The sequence below is a fragment of the Homo sapiens genome, chromosome 12 (assembly GCF_000001405.40).
Source record: "Homo sapiens chromosome 12, GRCh38.p14 Primary Assembly".
NCBI lineage: Eukaryota > Metazoa > Chordata > Mammalia > Primates > Hominidae > Homo > Homo sapiens.
The window spans coordinates 85,980,610-85,999,065 of record NC_000012.12 but is presented as its reverse complement, the minus strand read 5'-3'; the positions used below and the strand labels follow the sequence as shown (position 1 = coordinate 85,999,065).

The 18,456-nt window shown below is 37.5% G+C and overlaps 1 protein-coding gene across 11 annotated transcripts in view; it reads left to right on the top strand.

Annotated features, from left to right (window-relative positions):
* Positions 1 to 18,456, top strand: part of MGAT4C (MGAT4 family member C) — an 883,334-nt gene that overhangs the window by 839,935 nt on the left and 24,943 nt on the right. For 10 of the 11 annotated variants that reach the window (NM_013244.5, NM_001351286.2, NM_001351285.2 and 7 more), the window contains 2 exons: positions 9,514 to 9,666; positions 15,396 to 15,543. In NM_013244.5, the coding sequence (NP_037376.2) occupies positions 9,520 to 9,666; positions 15,396 to 15,543 (295 nt within the window). In that variant the 5' untranslated portion in view covers positions 9,514 to 9,519. The remainder of the gene's footprint in view (positions 1 to 9,513; positions 9,667 to 15,395; positions 15,544 to 18,456) is intronic. The other variant, NR_147093.3, reaches the window with a different exon arrangement.

Here is an 18,456-nt window from a genome sequence, read left to right as displayed (position 1 = left end):
TTCTTTCTTGCCTTCCACCATGTTTGTGAGGACTCCCCAGCCATGTGGAACTGTAAGTCCATTAAACCTCTTTCTTTTGTAAATTGCCCAGTCTCAGGTATGTCTTTATCAGCACTGTGAAAATGGACTAATACAGTAAATTGGTAGCAGTAGAGTGGGGAGCGCTGCTGAAAAGATACCCAAAAATGTGGAAACAACTTTGGAAATGGGTAACAGGCAGGGGTTGGAACAGTTTGGGGGGCTCAGAAGAAGATAGAAAAACATGGAAAATTTTGGAACTTCCTAGAGACTTGTTGAATGGCTTTGCCCAAAATGCTGATAGGGATGTGGATGATGAAATCCACATTGAGATGGTCTCAGATGGAGAAGAAGAACTTGTTGGGAACTGGAGCAAAAGTGACTCTTGTTATGTTTTAGGAAAGAGACTGGCAGCATTTTATCCCTGCCTTAGAGATTTATGGAACTTTGAACTTGAGAAAGATGATTTAGTGTATCTAGTGGAAGAAATTTCTAAGCAGCAAGGCATTCAAGAGGTGACTTGTGTGCTGTTAAAGGCATTCAGTTTTATAAGGGAAGCAAAGCATAAAAGTTCAGAAAATTTGCAGCTTGACAATGCGATAGAAAAGAAAATCCCATTTTCTGAAGAGAAACGCAAGCCAGCTGCAGAAATTTGCATAAGTAATGAGGAGCAGAATGTAATCACCAAGACAATAGGGAAAATGTCTCCAGGTCAAGTCAGAGGTCTTCATGGCAGCCCCTTCCATCACAGGTCTGGAGGCCCAGGAGGAAAAAATGGTTTCATAGGTGAGACCCAGATTCCCAGTGCTGTGTGCAGCCTAGGGACTAGGTGCCCTGAATCCCAGCCACTCTAGCCATGGCTGAAAGGGACCAACATAGAGCTTGGGCCATTGCTTCAGAGGGTGCAAGCCCCAAGCCTTGGCAGCTTCCATATGGTATTGAGCCTGAGAGTGCATGGAAGTGAAGAATCAGGGTTTGGGAACCTCTGCATAGATTTCAGAGGATGTATGGAAACACCTGGATATCCAGATAGAAGTTTGCTGCAGGGGCAGGGCCCTCATAGAGAACCTCTGCTAGGGCAGTGCAGAAGGGAAATGTGGGGTCAGAGCCCCCACACTGAGTCCCTACTGGAGCACTATGTAGTGGTGCTGTGAGAAGAGGACCACCATCCTCCAGACCCCAGAATGGTAGATCCACTGACAGCTTGCACTGTGCACCTGGAAAAGCCACAAACACTTTATGCTAACCCATGAAGGCAGCCTGAAGGGAGGCCGTACCTTGCAAAGCCATTGGGGCAGAGCTGTCCAAGACCATGGAAACCAACCTTTTGCATCAGCATGACCTGGATGTGAGACCTTGAGTCAAAGGAGATAATTTTGGAGCCTTAAGATTTGACTGCCTTGCTGGATTTTGGACTTGCATGGGGCCTGTACCCCTTTGTTTTGACCAATTTCTTCCATTTGTAATGGCTGTATTTACCCAATGCCTGTACCTCCATTGTATCTAGGCAGTAACTAGCTTGCTTTGATTTTACAGTCTCATAGGCTGAAGGTACTTGCCTTGTCTCGGATGAGACTTTGGACTGTGGACTTTTGAGTTAATGCTGAAACGAGTTTAGACTTTGAGGGACTGTTGGGAAGGCGAGATTGTTTTGGAATGTGAGGACATGGGATTTGGGAGGTGGAATGATATGGTTTGGCTGGTTCCCCACCCAAATCTCATCTTGAATTGTAACTCCCACAATTCCCACGTGTCAAGGGAGGGACCAAGGGGAAGGTAATTGAATCACAGAGGCAGGTCTTTCTTGTGCTGTTCTCACGATAGTAAATAAGTCTCACAATATCTGATGGTTTTATAAAGAGGAGTTCCCCTGCAAAATCTCTCTCTTTGCCTGCTGCCATCCATGTAAGATGTGACTTGCTCCTTCTTGCCTTCCACCATGATTGTGAGGCCTCCTCAGCCATGTGGAACTGTAAGTCCATTAAACCTCTTTCTGTTGTAAATTGCCCTGTCTTGGGTATATCTTTATCAGCAGCATGAAAACAGATTTATACACTGCTATTGTTGGGTGGAGTGTTTCATAAATCCCAAGTAGATTAATTTATTTGATAGTGTTTTAAATATTTTTGACATTTACTGGTTTTGTATTTGCATGTTCAGTCAATTATTGAGGGAGGAATATTTAAATAGAGGACTTCGATATTCATATATTGAAAATGAATGAATTTATTTATTCTCTTTCTTTCCTTTCTTCCTCCTTTATTTATTCCCTTTTTTATCCTTTCCCTTATGTCAGTTTTGTTTAGGTATTTTGAAACTCTTATTTATTGCATGTACATTTATGCTTCCTTTGAAAAATTGATACTTTCATTAATTACTAAATGTTTGCTTTGTATTATATTAATATACCCAGTCCAGCTTTCCTTTGATTAATGTTTATCTCTATCTTTTCTTTTATTATTAACTCATTTTTTGTCTTTATCATTAAAATGAGTTTCCTGTAGATAGCTATATCAGTTGTCTATTGTTGCCGAAGAAAACACTCTGAAATTTAATGCCTTACAACATTTATGATCTCACTTTTCCTGTGACTCAGAATTTAGACAGCAGTTTGGCTGGATGTTTGTCCCTCTCTCTGTGCTTTATTTGTATTATTTCTACCGTTGTATCTTTTCTCCTGCTATTCTTTATCTACTAGCCAGTGTATTTGCATTTCGCACATAAAATTTTTCATCCCTAGAAATTGTTTTTGTTTTTATTTAAATATTTCATTTCTCTCCTTAAAATTATCATTGTTCTTCTATTTTGAGCCTATGGGACATATTTATGATAGCCTTTTTAATATCCTTTTTCTTTTAATTCTATCATCTCAGTTATGTCTTGATTTTTTTCTCTCTGATTAGTTTCAGCCTAGTTATAGACCATATTGTCCATGATTTAAATGGTAATTTTTGCTGGATCCTGGATATTGTGATTTTTATGTTCTTAAGTTCTAGACATTGTCCTATATGTTTAAAGAGTGCTGTACTTTGTACTAGTATGGAGTTAAGTTATGCAAAATAATTTGATGCTGTTGATGCTTGTTGTTAAGCTTTCATTAGGACAGGCCTAGAGAGTATTGGCCCAAATACTAAGGTAATATGCTTCTGAGTATTCTTTTTGTTGTTGTTTGTTTTGAGACAGGGTGTTATTCTGTTGCCTAGGCTGGAGTGCAGTGGCACAATTACAGCTCACTGCATGCAGGCTTGACCTCCCAGGCTTGAGTAATGCTCCTGCCTCAGTCTCCCAAGTAGCTGGGACTACAGATGTATACCAACACACGAGGCTAGTTTTCTTATATTTTGTAAAGATGGGGTCTCACTATGTTGCCCAGGGTGGTCTCAATGTCCTGGGCTCAAGCTCTCCTCCTGCCTCAGCCTTCCAAAGTTTTGAGAATACAGGCATGAGGTACCGCAGCTGGCCTCTGAGTATTCTTTTTAATGTCCAGTTTTTTAATGTCCAGTCCAAGTTTGCTGGCTGATGGACGCACAAACTTGGCTTATGGACACACAAACTATCTCCAACACTGTATAAGCTTCAGGAACTGTTTGGCCTACTACTTTTTTATGGTTCTTTCTCTAGTCTTATGAAGTTTCATGACACACATGACATACCAGTATCAACTCAAAGATTTGAAGAGCCGTCTGCAGAATTCTGAGTCTCTCTTCTGTCACTTGTTCTCTTAAATATTCTGCCACTCAAATTCTAGGTACCTTTATCTCCCCCAAATTATTATTTCTGTCTCCTAATTGGCAAGATCTCTACGTTCTGTTTGGATTCACTGTCCCTGTACTGCCTTTTGGAAACCGCCTCTTGACAGCAAGCAGGAAAAATCACAGGGCTTACCTATTTGGTTTCTTCACTTGGGGATATTGCCCTGTGCTGCCTGTTGTCCAATATTAGAAAAAAAGTCATCAACTGTGGATAAAACATAGTGTCTTCTAGAAATGCTGGGTAAAAATGTTAATACTTTCAGTTACCAATTTCTAGTGACTGAAGATGGTAAAGTTTTCACCTTCAGTAGTAGCAAATGAGGTTTCTTACTTTTTCTTTCTTTTCCATTTATAATTACCATTTCATCATTAATTTATATTTATTCAGTATTTTACTATCAATCATAGCCCATAAATTTTAATCTTCAGTTTTCCCAAAATTCCTTAATGGAAGCCTTTTCAAGCCATTTTCTATGTCCTTTAGATATGTCTCCACTAATCTTGAGAGCTTTCTTGCTTCATATCACAATAAAAATATGGACTAATCCCGGAGTCTGTTCTCCCTACTTGAAATCAGCTATTTTGTTTTCCTTTTCATAGTAATTTTGTCAGTCTGGTTTTGGGTGTCCGAGTGTTTTTTTGTTTTTTGTTTTTTGTTTGTTTTTTGGCGGCTGGGGGGGGATTTTTTTAAAAACTTTCCTAAACCAAGGTGTAGAAAATAATTCTATGTTTGAGGTGGGGGAGGAGTGTGAATGGCTTTATTAGCTTCTTTAATTTTTAACGGCCTGCAGTCTAGCATAGTTTGTTTAATAAATGACATTTATTTTGTTCTGTCTTTTGATCTTTTGTTTGCTCTGGTTTGGGCTTCTCAGCCTATTCTGCTGACAATGGGTGTAAATGTTCTCAATTAAATGAAAATTAAAGTTTGTGCTAATTGTCTGTATCATAGTTACTCTGGGGGTATACACCATGGAAACTTTATTTGTATTCTGTATTGTGAATGGATTTGAGAGGATTACAATTTGCAGAATTTGGATATTAGAATTTAGACGACTGTCATTATTCTCTAAGGACTTCTGTATTTCTTTGTCAACTCTTGGGAATTATATCCTGGGGTTTTGTTGTTGTTTTATTCTACTTCAAATTATTGTAGACAGAACTAATGGTAGCAGTGGCCCATCAAGAGTGGCTGCTGCCAAGATGCCAGCTGCAGCAGGGAGGCTGGCCTGGGCCTCCCATGCCACTGCTCAGGCAGGAGCCTCGCCCTCCCTAGGAGCCACTGCAGCTGCCCTCCCAGGTGCAGAATCCAGACTTCTCTGCGGTCTGCACCCTTGAGGACCCTGGAAGGACCCCATGCCACCATCTACACAGGCTCAGGGGTGCCTGCGTAGGCACTGGCCTCCACTACCTGGCCTCCTCCTGCTGTCTAGACAGTCCCTCCTACCACATTTGTGGCAGTCAACAAATGCATCTTGGGGACTCTGGGGTCTGCGGGTCCACAAGGTGGCTACTGGAAGCCTCTGCCTTTTTCCTGTATCTCCCCTCTCTTTTCTGGATTTCCTCATGGTTCCCACTGCAAAATACTGAGGTGACCACTCCCAGAAGGCCCTCCAAAGTACCATCTGGTCCCACAGCCCATTTTTGCAGCCCCCTCCTGACATCAGGGGCCACCTGTGTGATTAACTCATCCCCCTAGGACCAGCTGTCCCTTAACCAAATCAGGAGATGGAGAATCACACTTCACCAAGGCCCCTCCAGCCCCACTGATGAAGGCAGTGTGACTCCCATCCAATCCCTGGTCTACCATGGATAGCTCAGTGCAGTTGAGAGGCTGGACCCAATCCCTTGTAAGCCTTGCAGTATGCAAACCTGAAAGTGTTTCCTCCTCCCTTCTCTCATTTTATCATGAGGGGCTCATTTTGTCCTCCAATGGTATTGCCATTCTTCCAACTGGTCCTCCAATGGCACTGCCATTCTTCCAACTCCTCCCCATCCCTGGCCCTATATAAGATATAAAGCTCATTTCCAAAATTCTCTGCCACTTGCAGGATTCCCTGCTTTTCAGTGGTGGTCAGGATTTGACTCAAAAGTAACACGACATCCTTCCAGGAGAGCTCAATTACTTAGGTTAAGTTCTAGAAAGCCTCTATATACCTGTCAGGACCATTTGAAAACTTGCCAAGACCCCCTTTAATTTGAAAAGGGGACCTGGACCTTAATGGGGCCATATTCACCAGGCATCTGTTATTGGAGCAGTTGAGACTGGGACCTGCCTAAAACGAAGATTTTTAGGCTGGGGCAAGCTTAAGAGAGAACCCGCATAGGGAAGAGCAAAGGGGGTTGATTCCCCTGCTGGAGGCACCTCTGGGGTTTGCTTCCCTATTTCCCTGGGACCGTCTCTTGCAGCCTCTCCTGAGATGGCCATCTAGGAGGGCTTAATCAATCCTACAGTCTCGGCAAAGGTCCGAATTGCCCTGCAAGGCAAAGAAGGCCAGCACATGGGACCTTGGACCATTTGCCCTCACATTCACAGAAAAGCTTTCTTCCTGAGGCCATGTTTCTGTTCTGTGCTTCAAAGTGCTTGACACTAAGTTGGCAACAAAGGAAATGACAAAAACATGTTTGCCACAAATTTATGTACAGATACCAACACACACTTTGCTTTGTCTTAACTTTCCATTTTATGCTTTTGATGACTGAGCCAATTCCACATTCTTCCCAGTAATATCTCTAGTTTGCAACAACATCTTTAACATTTAACATTGTATATAAAGAAGAGATGGGAACCTTGACAGCCACAAAAGAGAGAAAGAAAGAATGATAGGAAAGACTGGAGGTCCAAGTGCCAACACCCTAATGGGCAGTCAGGGACTGGAGTTAGTCCAGGGGCCTTTGGATAACACCAAGGTGTAGCCTTGGCCAGATACCCTTAGTTGCCCCAAGATTTCCTTTCAGTCCTATGTGACAGCTAGATATGCATGAAAGGACACTGGATTGAAACAAAGCCAACATTCTCAACACCCAGTAGAGGTGATAGAGGATTGACAGTGTCATCCCCAGAAAGTCTGTTCTCCATGTCTTAAGTCCTGGTAGCTGTGCTAGTCGCTTTTAACTGACTGACAAATGTCCAGTATTTTTCTTTCATTTTGACTGTTGTGGAAGTTAGAGACTCCAAAGAAAGACAGTAAGAGCAGATCCACTTTTACTTACCTTTCCGCAGACCCTGGATGAGCCCCCAAAATGTTACAGGATCTTTGGGGTGTTGCTTTTCTGGCCAGAAACGTATGTTGCTAGTGGCACCTTTGTCTGCCCTTTGAAAAGGTAGGGCCACTTCTGAAGATGGCTCGCTGGTCACCACCCCTGCCATATTGTCATCAGGATGGTGAAAACTTCCAAGGACCTGCTCTGATGAAATCTCACCTGGAAACTCTGCTGCTAGAACTGTGAAGTAAACTTTTTCCTTTTTGTGGAGAATGGGGTCTCACTATATTGCCCAGGCAGGTCTCAAACTCCTGGGCTCAAGCTATCTTCTTACCTCTGCCCCTCTAAGAGCTGGGATTTGAGGCATGAGCCACCATGCCCAGACACTGAGTTCCCCCAAGGCACAGCATCTCAGATTCATGCCTGTAATGTCAGCTCTGGGCAGTGCTGACATGCCAGCTGCTTGTCATCTCAGCACCCTCCAGGCTTTAAGCGCCCACGAGTGCGGGAAGGATAACCAAGGAGGGGGCTGAGGGTGTCTTGTCACTGGCCTGCAGGTGCCCATTGGTGCAAGCAGCCTGGACACTATGGACAGTAGTGGGAGGCAGACAGACTTCTGGGGGGAAGGGGGTGGGTCCCCAGTGAAGCCCCACCTTCAGGCTGGTGAAGGCCTGAAGCCTGGGGGCCAGGCTGCCAGTCCTGCAGACCAGACTGGGAACTTGTGGTGCCTTTTCTGGGCCCGCCCATGGCTGTCCATGGATCAGTTGGCATGCGCTTCCTCCTCTCTGAGGCCCATAAAAGCCCCGTGTTCAGCCAGAGCAGAGGAGAGGATGGAGAGATGATGGAGTGGCCACCTGCAGAGAGGAGCTACCCTGTCTGCTGAGAAGAGGGTGGATCAACCAGCAGCAGAGAGGAGCTAACCTCTCTGCTAAGTGCTGAACACTTGACAGGTTGACCTGTCTACAGAGAGGACCTACCCACTGTGGGTCTTGTCTGAGTGGTTCTAACACTGAATAAAGCTCCTCTTCATCTTGCTCACCCTCCACTTGTCTGAATACCTCATTCTTCCTCGATGCAGGACAAGGACTCTGGCAAGATGCCACCAGTCACAGAGGTTTCTGATCAGAAAAGCAACACTCTGAAGATCCCATAACAGAACTACAATATTGCCTCCAAAGCATTATTTTTACCACTTCTCATACTATTTGAAATGTCATATATCACCCAAATCCTCAGGATATACATTTATGTGCATCTATGTGTGCATATTTATACACATATTTACAATTTCTACAAATTTATAAGAAAAATAACCCTTAAGAAAAATATGATCAAAGAAAATGGACAGTAATATGTATAGCACTTTCATAATTCTTTTTTAGAAATTATTTTTAGACTTATAATTATTAAGTCATATATTAAGTCTTATATATTAAGACTTTCTTCTAATTCCTAATATTTTTACTATAATTTATAAGGACCCACAAATTCTCCCTTGCATTAATTCATTGAAGAGATAAGATTTGCCAGCTATGTTCTAGGCATAGTTCTAAGATTATAGGGGACGGACATTTTTCACTTTCTAAAGTCTCCCTTACACATAAATACTTCATCATAAAGATAAACCCAAGGAGATCCATTACACAACTCTAAGTAGCTCTGTTTTCAGGTTATCAATGTGTTGATTTTACACAAAATGTGATTTTTCTAGTTTGTTAAGTGCTTCAGATATGTTTATACTTTTTTATAAAATAATGAATAATGTAAAGGAATCTTTGGTTGGAAAATATCAGAAAATAGAAGAGTAAAAATTTTTTTAAATTAGGTTTTCACGAATCTTTCTGACTCTCATTTTGCCTTTGTGTAGTACATGAATTATTTCAAACAGCTAAACTACTAAGTAGTAGATATCAAGGAAATGTTAATATAATACTATAGGATTCACCCTGATTTAACAAGAATAATTGGAAAAATAAGCAAAGCAATTGTAACCCAGAAGTTTTCAAACATATGTTTGGATTTACCCCACAGCCTTAACTTCTTTATCACTTTTCTTTACTCCACCCAGATTCCCAGTTAAATATTTTCAGTTGACACCTACTCTGAGATTAATATTAGGCCCATAATTCTGCTTTTTCTCATTTTCGTTATACTACAATATGAGAGGTAAATGTTACCTTAAAGTTATACCTCACTGATGACAGTGGACTTGACTGTTTTTCTATTGTGCTTTTGTACTGTTTCTCATCAGAGGCCTGTTTTATTTACATTATTATGACCAAAGTTCATCTTTTTTCGTCAGTAACTATGAGACTTGCTTTTTATTTTTATTTACTCTACATTAATATAAACCACTGCATTGATCTTATGTTAACATATTAATTAATGATCTGTGCCAACCTTATGTTTGAAATTGGGAACAGAATTTTAATTCAAACATTTGAAAGATGAAATTTTACAAGGACCTGACTTTTATATATGCGATAAAGAAATATTTGCATCCAAAACCAACTGCTAGTAATTCTGTGTCTCTTTTCCACAGAAGAGAATGTTTAAATTTCATCAAATGAAACATATTTTTGAAATACTTGATAAAATGAGATGCCTGAGAAAACGTTCTACAGTGTCATTCTTGGGAGTTCTTGTCATTTTTCTCCTTTTTATGAACTTGTACATTGAAGATAGCTATGTTCTGGTAAGTTTGGGAGGTTGATTGTCTTTTCTTCAAAATAAGGCATAAGTCAAACAAGAATTAGTCCCATTGTAGCCTAACTTCAATCTCAAGCTATTGGAGAAGACTTAGTTTGAGCAAAATTATAACATGTATATTGTCTATTTTTTGTATTAACCATACATCAACATTACACTTGTTTTGAATTATGTTCCAATATTTTTAATGGTGTATATTTTGTGCTCCAAATATGTACATGTAATTACAAATAAGTTAGCTATCATCACTATGCAGAATAAATATGTGGAGCCATTAAGATTTTGGGTTTTCCATTTGAAATGCATAGAATAAACAAAATCTGCTTAGAAAGTATAACTCCTTGCTTCCTCTACTTTTCTATATTATCACTGAAATTTTCAAAATTCCATTGTCTAATTAACAATGCTTTTTAATTGTGCTATTTGTATAAGTAATATTTTATTACAATGTGTAACACCTTATCTGAATTTTGAATAGACCTAGATGGCCACTCTGTTTTATATTTGTACCCACTGAAAAGATCTCAAGAGATAAAGATATTGATGTGTAAATCATTCAGTAGTTAAAATGAGATACCAAATATTGGTAGGTGATTACATATAAATAGGTTTTTTTAGGGAAAATATGACAATATGCAAAAGCGCTTATTCTGACTAATTATGAAAAATTAATATGTTAGTTTCAATTTTTTTCTTATTGTTATCATCACATCATTTCATGTCTGATGAGATTAATACAGACATTATTGCTATTCACTTTTTCTATCTTAATGGAGCCTAAAATATCTGTCCTAATTTGTATGTTATTATTAATATTTATAGATTTCAGAAAATCAAAACCTGATTACAGTTTATATATTTCAGAAATCAAAACCTTTACAACTAACAGGAACTAAAAAGTGATTTTCACATGCAAAAATGCTAAAAGTTTAAATTAGTGTCTTAACAAGAGAGAGAGTATTTCCAAAAAAAAATGCTTTAGATTATTTATTAACTATTATTTTCCAGATACTATGCTATATCCTATGAGTCAACCATATGATTTTAGTTGGTACAGATATTCCTAAGAAGTCCTCTGTAAAACATCTTGCATCCTTTATCTCTGTTCTTTGATGCTGAAATTGTACCAGAATCCTAGATTTTGACTCTGCCTAGGCTTTTTGTCTTCAAATAGTGATTCTGATGTTGTGGACCCTTAATGTTTCTCTCCACAGTCTATGCACAATGGCTGAAATCAACAAAGATTAAACAGGATTTGAGTAGGTATGATTTAGGCAAACTTAGAAAATAGGAGAAACATACTAATGTTATGCATTTTTGAATATTTTTAAAACCTATTAGTTATATGAGATATAATAAGGACAACAGAACAAGGCCCATGTGTTCTTGCTATTTTTTTCTTAAGATAATGAAAGATTGTAAGTTAACTAGAGATTCTCTTGATTAATTATTCAATTTTATAATAAAAATTTATTTCTTGATTCTGTGTCTACTGGTAGAAGTAAATAAAATCTTGTAAATCAAACACATGTTATTGGTTGGAGGCTTGCTATGTTCAATTACTTGCTGAATTTATAAGACAGTTTCCAGTGCAATTTTAATCTTTCACTTTCAACAAACCCAAAGGACCATTGAATGTGCAAAACGCCCTTATGTCTTTTGAAATAGAACCTGTTTAAATTCACCATAAAATGAGTAAGAAGTAGTAGAGTATATGTCAATTAGAAAATAAAATGCTATGTTCCTGTTTTGCAAATGTTTACAGTGCTATCTAAACATTGGTCCTAGTCATCAAATGTAGATAATATGATTTAATGAAGTAGCTCTTCTACTAAAGCTACTTTCTCAATGAGATTTCTGTGATTATATTAGGAATATATCTACTCAAATTTGCAAATCAGTCCAGGTGCAGAAAACAGATTGCTTCTTAGCTTTTAAAAATTATTATTGGCCGGGCGCGGTGGCTCACGCCTGTAATCCCAGCACTTTGGGAGGCCGAGGCGGGCGGATCACGAGGTCAGGAGATCGAGACCATCCCGGCTAAAACGGTGAAACCCCGTCTCTACTAAAAATACAAAAAAATTAGCCGGGCGTAGTGGCGGGCGCCTGTAGCCCCAGCTACTTGGGAGGCTGAGGCAGGAGAATGGCGTGAACCCGGGAGGCGGAGCTTGCAGTGAGCCGAGATCCCGCCACTGCACTCCAGCCTGGGCGACAGAGCGAGACTCCGTCTCAAAAAAAAAAAAAAAAAAAAAAAAAAAAAAAAAAAAAATTATTATTTTAAAATACTTACAAAAGTTGGAAAAAAATGAGTTAAAGCAATTGCTAAATTCCAACACTCATCCCTTGTTCTAAGTTTGATGATAGCATTTTTATTATTTAACAATTTACTATTTACTGACGGATGTTTTTTAACCAAATCGCATTTTAGCTGAATTTTGCTTCAAGGCTATAAGTTGAAAACTTTTTCAATGATTAATATTAAATTGCATTACAATTATTCTTCTAAAAATGAATAGTATCCATGGGAAACTGGCCCCCTCCAAGAATATAATGCAATTTCTTTTTAACACATCTCCCTTTTGATCTTTTTACCTGTGTTTATTTCTTTTTTAATAAAATTATCTGAACTCATTTTTCTTCTTTCTTCCCGATTATCACAATGTATGCAATTTGCTACGCACAGATATTAGTAGATCTTTCTTTTTTGTCTTCCTTTTTTAAAAACTGGGAAATAGTACTTCTAACTTAGAGATATCAGGTGAATAGTTAGAAGTAGTAAGGTCTCTGGAGTTAGTTAACAGATTCTATTCTCGTCTTTTTGTTAGAAAATCCATTTGTGGCCTGAAACCCTAGGCATATTAGCAGTTTAGCATATTTGCTTATGTATTAGAGATATATGTGCCTTTAAGTGAAAAAGGAAGCTGCACTTAGTGTAAGAGACAAACACCGTTACAAGGCAAACTAAGTAGAAGAGACACTGCATGCCCAATCAACTTAGCTTCTTGGCTTTGAGCATCTTCAAAGTAGCCACAAGGGTATATATTTAGTCTGCAGCTAGTTCATTGAATTGCATTCCCATCCAGAAAATGATTGTCATAAAGCTTTGTCTTATTACTGAGAAATATACTACAGCATAGTAGCTACAGAAAGAAGGTATCCAGGGAGAGCCTGGCTGTTCAGGTAGGTGACTCTGGAAAGCAGCCAACAAGGCTGACTCAGGTGAAAGTTGCATTATTTATTTATGCTGAAAAGTATAAAAAAGCTTGTTCCTGAGAATTTAATAAAGTGATTTCATGTAAGTTCCATTTCTTTTTATATTCTGTTATGTCCTTAAATCAGGATGAATGTACTCCATCTTATAACACAAAATTTCTAGATTTTATGTGTTAAGGATAGAATTTTTAAAGAGGTATTCAATATCCTGCACTTACCTTAGAATGTAACATCACCTAAGAATAGAATGGTAAAATGAATTTAGTGCTGTAATTACTGTACTTTTTACAGAAATTTCTTCCAGGCATTATTAATTATGTACATCACTACATTACTATTAAAATAATTGATACTAAACTGAGTCACTAGTTACATTTTGGCAGTTCTAAATTTATTTTAAACTTTAATGATGTTTTATAGGTATGCAGGTAAACACCAATGAAAATATTTATGTATAAAGAACTTAAAATCATCAGAATTCAGTGGATAGCCAATTAGTATATTTCTAAGTAATTTAGCATCTAAGGTTTAATCTCAAGTACTTTGAAAGTTTGTGGCTTTTACACATGGCATTGTGTAAAAGCCACACAAAACCACACTTTTACACATTGTGAACCTTATAAAGGACTAAAGTATTTCTTGGTCCAAATTATCAAAGGCAGTATGAAATAGAGAAATACACTATTAAAGACCAAATTTGGATTTATAAACATACTTGGATATACAGAAAAGATATTCAGAATGAATCTTGATTTAGTAAGGACCATATTGGAAGCCTCTAGTTAAGGTCCCTACTTTCAGTTTTTATTCTAAGAATAGTCACGTCTGGCCATAGATTAGAAAATCTGAGTTAGTCATCTTTTTCATTGTCACTCGAGATTGATGCGAAGTAGAAGTATTGAATGTTTCAGCTGTAAAACTTGTATCTGAGCTTTGTCTAATTTTTTAGAACAAGGCTTTAATTAACCTTTTAATGACCACAGCAAAATAATAGCAGGACCAGAGTTATTTAATCCATTTACTTTCTCTACAGTCTTATAGCTAGCACATGCCTAGCTTGACTTTCTATACTGAATAAAATAAATCCACATAAGGCCAGGTGTGCTGGCTCACACCTATAATCCCAGCACTTTGGGAGGCCGAGGTGAGTGGATCACTTGAGGTCAGGAGTTTGAGACGAGCTTGGCCAACATGGCGGAAACTCATCTCTACTAAAAAATACTAAAATTAGCTGGGCATGGTGGCGTGTGCCTGCAATCCCAGCTACTCGGGAGGCTGAGGCAGGAGAATGGCTTGAACCTAGGAGGCGGAGGTTATAGTGAGCAGAGATCATGCCACTGCACTCCAGCCTGGGCAACAGAGCCAGACTCCATCTCAAAGAAAAAAATTAAATAAATAAATAAAACCACATAGTAGAGTGCACATTTTGAGAAAAAAAAAGAGAGAGAGAGAGAAATATTTCTTTCTAATTAGGTTGTTCTCAAATGTATTCTACCAATTCTAGTAAATCACATATGAGTCAAACAAATAGTCATTTTCCTAATAGTGTATAACCAGTAAAGGCTTGATCAAATGATGATTAGATAATCAAAATTTACCATTTAGCTTATATCAAAGAAGGGCAATTAGTGGGTAAAGGATATATTTTAATCTGAATATGAATATGTTTTCTTGAATATAAACCTTCCTGAAGATTTAATGACATGCAAAATCCATCACCAAATAAATAAAAGGGATCTAAAATATAAAAGGATCGGGCATTACATCCAATAGAATCACACACACACACACACACAAACTTAACTATCATAAGAAATATTAGTCATAGATATCTACACATTACCTTAATTTGGTGCTAATGTATCCTATTTGAGGTTACTTTAGGACATATGAAAAAAATTACTGCCATAGCACCCATAACTGGCCCTTCTCAACAGCTAGATAGTAGCCACATAAGTGACTTATTTAATAAAGTATCAAAAATCCAAATATTGTGCCCACTACTGCATCTTCCTAATCATTCCTAAAGTTTCACAATCATGGAGACACTGTGTGATCTTTTATTTGAGACTGCTTGAGGAAGAGTAAATCAGGCAATATGGTGGGAACTAGCCTTAGATTAAACTATAAAATAGATTACTGTCAATTTTGAGATCCTTAAATGATTGTCAAAAATTTGAAAAGTAGCATAAAGGCAGTGGGAGTTTTCATGTAGAAATTCTTTTTTTAAGAGATTATCATTATTAATGTGTCCTATAGAAAAACAAATGTAATTGTGGTATACACAGCAAAATAGGCGAGCGAGCTACTGGAGCAGAACCTCCAGGTAAAAAATGAGGTGAGTGATGATGAGCTACAGCTTATGACGTCAGTAGTTGAGATTTATATAACCCTGCATACTATATATTGTAGTCGTACATTTATTGTGTAAAAAAGAAACTTTATTTAATCCATGACCATCTATTATTTATATATTTTCCTTGCTTCTTTCTTGGTATTTAGGAAGGAGACAAACAACTTATAAGGGAAACATCCACACATCAACTGAATTCAGAACGCTATGTTCATACTTTCAAGGATTTATCTAATTTCTCAGGAGCCATAAATGTCACCTATCGCTACCTAGCTGCCACACCTTTACAAAGAAAGCGTAAGTATCCTTAAACATTTAAATAAAGAATACATAAAATATTTTGCATTAAAATAATGATAGTTTCACATGTATAGTAAAAAGGCTTAAGGGCTTTACTAATATAATAAATTATTTGGGCAAAACTTCAATGTTTCTTCACAAATTGCCAACTACTATACTCACTGACCCAGTACACTTAATAACAAAAAAATTAAATAAAATGCCTAATCGTAATGTGAGTCTCTTGAGATTTTGTTGTAGGATGGTATAGAGTGACTAGAAAAAAATCAATTTACTTTAAAATTTAGAAGTTAACTTTTAAAAATTCCTATGTTCATATTGCTACATTTTCTAACCTCTTAACAGTTTGGTTTTATGACTTGCCACAACTTTTTAATTAATGAAACTCAGTGTTTTAGTTTCCTAGGTCTGCCATAACGAATTACCACAAAGTGACTGGCTTTTAAAAAGAGCAATTTATTCTCTCGTGGTTCTGGAAGCCAGAGGTTAAAATCAAGGTGCTGGCAGGTCCCCACTCCCTCTGAAAGTTCTAAGGGAGAATCCTTGCCCCTTTCAGCTTCTGGTGACTTTGCTTCTGGTACTCTTTGACTTTGGGGCATCACTCCAATTCCTGCCTCCATCATCAATGGCCTTCTTCTCTTTGTCTTTCTGTGTCTTTTCCTCTTTTTATAAGGACACAAGTTATTGAATTTATGGTCCACATCTAAATCCAGAATTATTGCAGCTCAAGATCCTTAACTAATTATATCTGCAAAGATCAAATTTACTAATAAAATTACATTCTGAGGTTCCAAGTAGACATGAATTTTTGGAGGAAACTATTCAACACACTGCAGTCAGTTAAAAAAATATATTTGGAGCCAAGAAGTAACATACTATATTTCTAAGACACCATAGCTTACAAAAAGTACCATTATCTAATTAGCATACCACTAAGAAAGTATAAGCATTACCAATTTTAATTATAACGCTGTTGATTTTAGTATGCAGCCTGATTTTTAAATGTTTCAATGTGTAAAATATAAATCTTAGGCTGGGTTTGGTGGCTCATGCCTGTAATCCCAGCACTTTGGGAGGCCAAGGCAAGTGTATCACTTGAGGCCAGGTGTTCAAGACAAGCCTGGCCAACATGGTGAAACCCCTTCTCTACTAAAAGTACAAAAATTAACCAGGCATGGTCGTGTACACCTGTAATTCCAGCTACTCAGGAGGCTGAGGAGGCCAAGGCACAAGAATCGCCTGAACCTGGGAGGTGGAGGCTGCAGTGAGCTGAGTTCGCACCACTGCATTCCAGCCTGGGCAACAGAGCAAGACTCCATTTCAAAAAAACAAAAACAAAAACAAAAAAACCATGAATCTTAGAATAAAATACAGTGCTATCATGATCTTAATAAATTATGTGAAGACCACAAAAATTGACCTCTCTTTTAAGACTTGTTTATGTGAGTGTATTTGTTATCACTAGGTTGAGGAAATTATTAAATTAATTTAGATTTCTTTATATCTCATTTCCTTTCATTCTACCATTTGAAATGTCTACTGTTCTTAGGCTTCTTTCTAATTGTCTAAGACTGCCATTCATTTTTCATCTCTGTTACACCACCTTTGCTTGAACATTACTGATTACCTTTTCCCATGCTAAATTTACTAATGTTTATTGGCACACATGCCAACTGCTTTCTACCAGAGGCAATGTAACACAGAGGATAAAAGAGTGAGACAGTTTGAATCCTGTTGCAGCATCACCTACTAAGTGTACCACCTTGCATGAGTCACCTCATCTCACCGTGACTTAGTGTCCCTATCTGTAAAGCAGAATGATGGTAATAGCAAACCTATCCCAAAAGACCGTTTTGAACATTTAAGATGCATATTACAGATAAAATGCCCAAACTCCTGCCTCTTATGTAGACAGCATTCCATAAGCATTGGCTATTATTAATGAAGTTTGGTGGCTTCAAGTTTAATGGTACTAGATAACATATTGTGTTTCAATAGAAGTCTGAGTTGTAAGCCAAGGTATTTAAACGAAATGTGTAAATCACAATCTCTCTGACAAACTGTTTTTGGAATGGGGCTTTTTTCAATATCATACAAACCGCATTATACAGGTGCTATATTAAAACGATGATCTTGTTGTATATAGATTTCCCCATTTTCTAAATAGTGGCTTAGAAATGTTATTCAATTCTGATTAATATCAGAATGAGCTTTAAAAAGTGAAAATATTTCAATAGAAAGACCTCTAACCCTTCTCAGAGGTGAGCTGTCTTTTCTCAGGGTTTTATTTTATTCTCTAAACATATCTAATTCCTAATTTTAGATTATAAATGTCTGAATAAAAAGTTATTCAGGCAAAATTACTATAAAGTGTGTTTCAAAATTTTTTAAAGTGGTGCTTATGTCTTGGAACAATGTAGCATTAAAGTTTTTTGAATGTGTCTTATAATATTGTTTGCTTTCTAATTAATATACTATGTACATTTCAAGATAAAATTGTGAAGTCCAATTACGAATTCTAGTACAACATAATGACAGCAAAAAAAAGAAAACTGAAAATATGTGATGTGTTCTATAAAAAATTTAAAGATGATTGAAAGACTTACTTACCCTTATTTTTCTTTTGTATCATTTGAAACTAGTTTGTCAGCCTTAACTGTGAATGCCCTTCTCTTTTTGCAAAAGAGAAAAAGCATTTTTTTTACTTTATCTTTAAAAAGTAACTTGTATGTTATCTAGGTACCTGTCTACCTTCTCTAATGGGCGTATATGAGAATATTAAGCTGCAGAACACTTTAAACCATGTTTTTAGAATTTCATCAGTAAATGTTCACAGCAATAGGGCTCATACATTATTGTGATTAAGGTGCTATTTATTTTTCATAGAAAATATAAATTATGTATTAAGCA